This window comes from Homo sapiens, chromosome 2 (genome assembly GCF_000001405.40).
Source record: "Homo sapiens chromosome 2, GRCh38.p14 Primary Assembly".
Classification (NCBI taxonomy): Eukaryota; Metazoa; Chordata; class Mammalia; order Primates; family Hominidae; genus Homo; species Homo sapiens.
Window position 1 is genome coordinate 98403056 of NC_000002.12, and position 4683 is coordinate 98407738.

A 4683-nucleotide genomic window follows, 5' to 3' on the forward strand; every position below is an offset into this window, starting at 1 on the left:
TACAAGAGGAGAACCTCAGAAGACCAGAAAGACCGGGAAAATATTGACATAAGGCCAAGTACTCTGCTCACTGAAAAAGCTCAGAACAATAACTCAGCAGCAATGAGTGCCCATAGCACCCAGGTTGTAGTCTCTAAATACAATTTTACATTTAAAGGAACCAAGATGAACCCAAAACATTTTGTTTTGCCAGAAAGCAAGGGAATTATCAAAGACACTGAGATTATGTCAGTAGAAAATAGAATCCAATTTGAATGCACTTCCACTGGCCAAAGATGGGAGAATTTGAGCACCACAAAGAAAAATAACTGCAATTGCATGTACTAAGTCAAATATATTTTTAATGTTCATCATTACAGCTTATTCCAAAAATTGTCAAAGGGAAAGAATCAAGCAGTTATGCTGACTTTCATATACAAAAACTAGATTTCAGAGTAACCTAAACAATTGAGGAAGGAAAGTTATTTTTCTTTCCTTCTGTGGAGTCAGGATCTCACTATGTTGCCCAGGCTGGTCTTGAACTTCTGGGATCAAGCAATACTCCCACCTCTGCCTCCCAAAGTGCTGAGATTATAGGCATGAGGCACCATTCCCAGCTGGAAACTTCTGTCTTTATAGAATAATTCCAACTAAAAAATATCTCATAGAATATTGGATCTAGGCAATCATATAAAATGGATGTCAAAACAACTAGTTGCAAAGTTGATGAGGAGGGGGCAGAGCTAGATAGCCAAATAGAAGCCTCCAGTGATTGTTGCCCCACCACACACACACACAAGAATGCAAAATTGAACAACTACCCACACACAAAATCACCTTCATAAGAACCAAAAATCAAGTAAGCAATCACAGTACTGGTTTTAACATCATATTAAGGAAAGAGACACTGAAGAGGGTAGGAAAGACAGTCTTGAGTTGCCCACACCACTCCTCCCCTATCCCTCAGCAGCAGCTGCATGGCAAGAAGAGAGAATCTGTGTGCTTGTGGTGGGGAGAGTGCAGTGATTGTGGGACTTTGCATTGGAGCTCAGTGCTGCCCTGTCATAGCAGAAAGCAACTCAGGGCAGAACCCAGCTGACACCCATGAAGGGGTTTAGACCAGCCCCAGCCAGGCAAATTGTCCATCCCAGCAGTCAGAACTTGAGTTCCAGCAAGCCCTGCCACTGTGGGCTAAAGTGCTCTGGGGTGCTAAGTAAACTTGGAAGGCAGTCTAGGCTGCATGGACTGCAATTCCTGGGCAAGTCCTGGTGCTGTGCTGGACTCGGAGCCAGTGGACTTGGAGTGCATGCAACCTAGTAAGGTATCAGCGGAGGCAGCCAAGAGAGTGCTCACATCATTCCTCCTGTAACCCCATGCAGTGCAGCTTGCAGCTCCAGGAGAGACCCTCTCTCTCTTCTTGAGGAGAGGAGACATGAGAGTAAAGAGGATTTTGTCTTGCAATGTGAATACCAGCTCAGCCATAGTAGAATAGGGCACTAGGCAGAGTCATGAGGCCCCCATTCCAAGCCCTAGTTCCCAGATGACATTCTAAATAACCCCTGGGCCAAAAGGGAACCTGCTGTCTTGAAGAGAAAGATTCAGTCCTGGCAGAATTAATCACCTGCTGACTAAGAGCCCCTGGGCCCTGAATAATAAGTAGTGGTAGCCTGGCAGTGCTCACCAAGGGCCTTGGGCAAGACTCAGAGCTGTGCTGGCTTCAAGTGTGACCCAGCACATTCCCAGCTATGATGGCTATGGAGAGAGACTCCTTCTGTTTGAGGAAAGGAGAGGGAAGAGTAAAGGGGACTTTGTCTTGCCCCTTGGGCACTAGCTCGGCCACAGGTGGGTGGAGCACCAAGTGAGCTCCTGAGTACCCAGTCGTAGCCCTTGGCTCCTGGACAGTATTTCTGGACCTCCCCTGGGCCAGAGGGAAGCCTACTGCCCTGAAGGGAGAGACTCAGGACAGACAGCATTCCCCACAGGCTGACTGAAGAGCCCTTGGGCCTTGAGTGAACATCATAGGCAGTAGGCAGGCAGTAATTGCCATGGGCCTAAGGCAGTGGTGGCCATGAGGACAGACTCCTCTACTTGAGGAAATGGGAGGGAAGAGAGGGAGGGAAGAAGGGGAAGGACTTTATCTTGTGGCTTGAGTGCCAGTTCAGCCACAGTAGAATAAAGCATCAGGTAGACTCCTAAGGTTTCTGACTCCAGGCCCTGGCTATCAGATGGCATCTCGGACCCACCTGGGGCTAGGAAGAACTCATAGCCTTGAAGGGAAAGACACAAACCTGCCTGTATTTGTCATCTGCTGATTGTATAGCCCTTGGGCCTTGAGTGAATATAGGTGGTAGCCGGGCAGTGGTCACTGGAGGCCTTGGGCATGACCAAGTACTGTGCTGGCTTCAGGTCTAACCCAGCACAGTCTCAGTGATGGTGGCCACAGGGGTGCTTGTGTCACCTTTTCCCCAGCCCCAGGCAGCTCAGCACAGAGACAAAAAGAGAAAGAGAGAGACTCTGTTTGTTTAAAGGAAAGTAAGCAAAGAGAACAAGTCTCTGCCTGGGAATCCAGGGAATTCTCCCAGATCTTACCTGAGACCACCAAGGTGATACATCTAAGAGTCTGCAAGAACCACAGCATTCCCGGGATTGGGGTGCCCCCTAAAGCAGATATGGCTGCAGTGACCAGAAAAACACTTAGATCACAACACCCACGTTCCTTCAAATACCTGCAAAGCTTTCCCAGGAAGGACAGTTACAAACAAGCCCAGACTATGAAGACTACAATAAATACCTAACTTTTCAATACCCAGACATCAGCGAACATCCACAAGCATCCAGCCCATCCAGGAAAACATGACCTCACCAAACAAACTACATAAGGCACGAGTGACCAACTCCAGAGACACAGAAATATGTGAACTTTCAGACAGAGGATTCAAAATGGCTGTTTTGAGGCAGCTCAACAAAATTAAAGGCAACACAGAGAAGGAATTCCAAATCCTATCAGATACATTTAGCAGAGAATGAAATAATTTAAAAGAATCAAGCAGAAATACTGGAGATGAAAAATGCAAATGGCATACTGAAGAATGCTTCAGAGTCTCTTAGCAGAAAAAAGAATTAGTGAGCTTGAAGATAGGCTACTTGAAAATACACAGAAGAGACAAAAGAAAAAAGAATAAAAAACAATGGAGGATACCAACAAGATCTAGAAAGTAGCTTCAAAAGGGCAAATCTAAGAGTTACTGGTTTTAAGGAAGAGGTAGAGAGATCAGGGTAGAAAGTTTATTCAAAGGGATAATAACAGAGAACTTACAAAACTTAAAGAAAGAGACAATATTCAAGTACAAGAAGGTTATAGAACATGAAGCAGATTTAACCCAAATAACATTTCAAGACATTTAATATCAAACTCCCAAAGGTCAAGAATAAAGTAAGGATCCTAAAATCAGCAAGAGAAAAGAAACAAATAGCATACAGTGGAGCTCTAATACATCTGGCAGCAGACTTCTCAGCAGAAACATTATAGGCCAGGAGAAAATGGCCTGACATATTTGAAGTGCTAAAGGAAGAAAAAAAACAACTTTTATTCTAGGATAGTATATCCAGCAAAAATATCCTTCAAACATGAAGGAGAAATAAAGACTTTCCCAGACAAACAAAAGTGGAGGGATTTCATCAACCCCATATCTGTTCTACAAGAAAGGCTAAAGGGAGTTCTTCAGCCAGCCACGGTGGCTCACACCTGTAATCGCAGCACTTTGGGAGGCCAAGGTGGATGGATCACCTAAGGTCAGGAGTTCAAGACCAGCCTAGCCAACATGGTGAAGCCCTATCTCTACTAAAAATACAAAAAATTAGCCGGGCATGGTGACACATGCCTGTAATCCCTGCACTTTGCGAGGCCGAGGTGGGTGGATCACCTGAGGTCAGGAGTTTGAGACCAGCCTGGCCAACATAGTGAAACCCCATCTCTACTAAAGATACAAAAAATAAGTTGGGTGTGGTGGTGCACACCTTTAATACCAGCTACTCAGGAGGCTGAGGCAGGAGAATACCTTGAACCCAGGAGGCAGAGGTTGCAGTGAGCCAAGATCGTGCCACCACTCTCCAGCCTGGGTGACAGAGCGAGACCCTGCCTTAAAAAAAAAAAAAAAAAAGGGTTGGTGGGGAGTTCTTCAATCTGAAAGAAAAGGACATTAATGAGCAAGAAGAAGGACCGTGAAGGTCCAAAACTCACTGGTAACAGTAAGTATACAGAAAAACACAGAATATTGTAACACTGTAATTTTAATGTGTAAACTACCCATATCTTGAATAGAAAGATTAAAAGATGAACCTATCAAAAATAATAACTACAACAACTTTTCAAGACATAGCATAAAAAGATGTAAATAAAAACAACAAAGAGTTTAAAAGCGAGAGGATGAAGTTAAAGTGCAGACTTTTCATTCGTTTTCCCTTTGCTCATTTGTTTGTTTATGCGATCGGTGTTAAGTTGTCACCAGTTTCAAATAATGGATTATATATATAATGCAAGCCTCATGGTAACCTCAAGTCAAAAAACATACAACAAATGCACACAAAATTAAAGGCAAGAAATTAAAACATGCCATCAGAGAAAATTACCTTCACTAAAAGGAAAACAGGAAGGGAGAAATGAAGAGAAGACCACAAAAACAACCAGTAAAACAAGTAACAAAA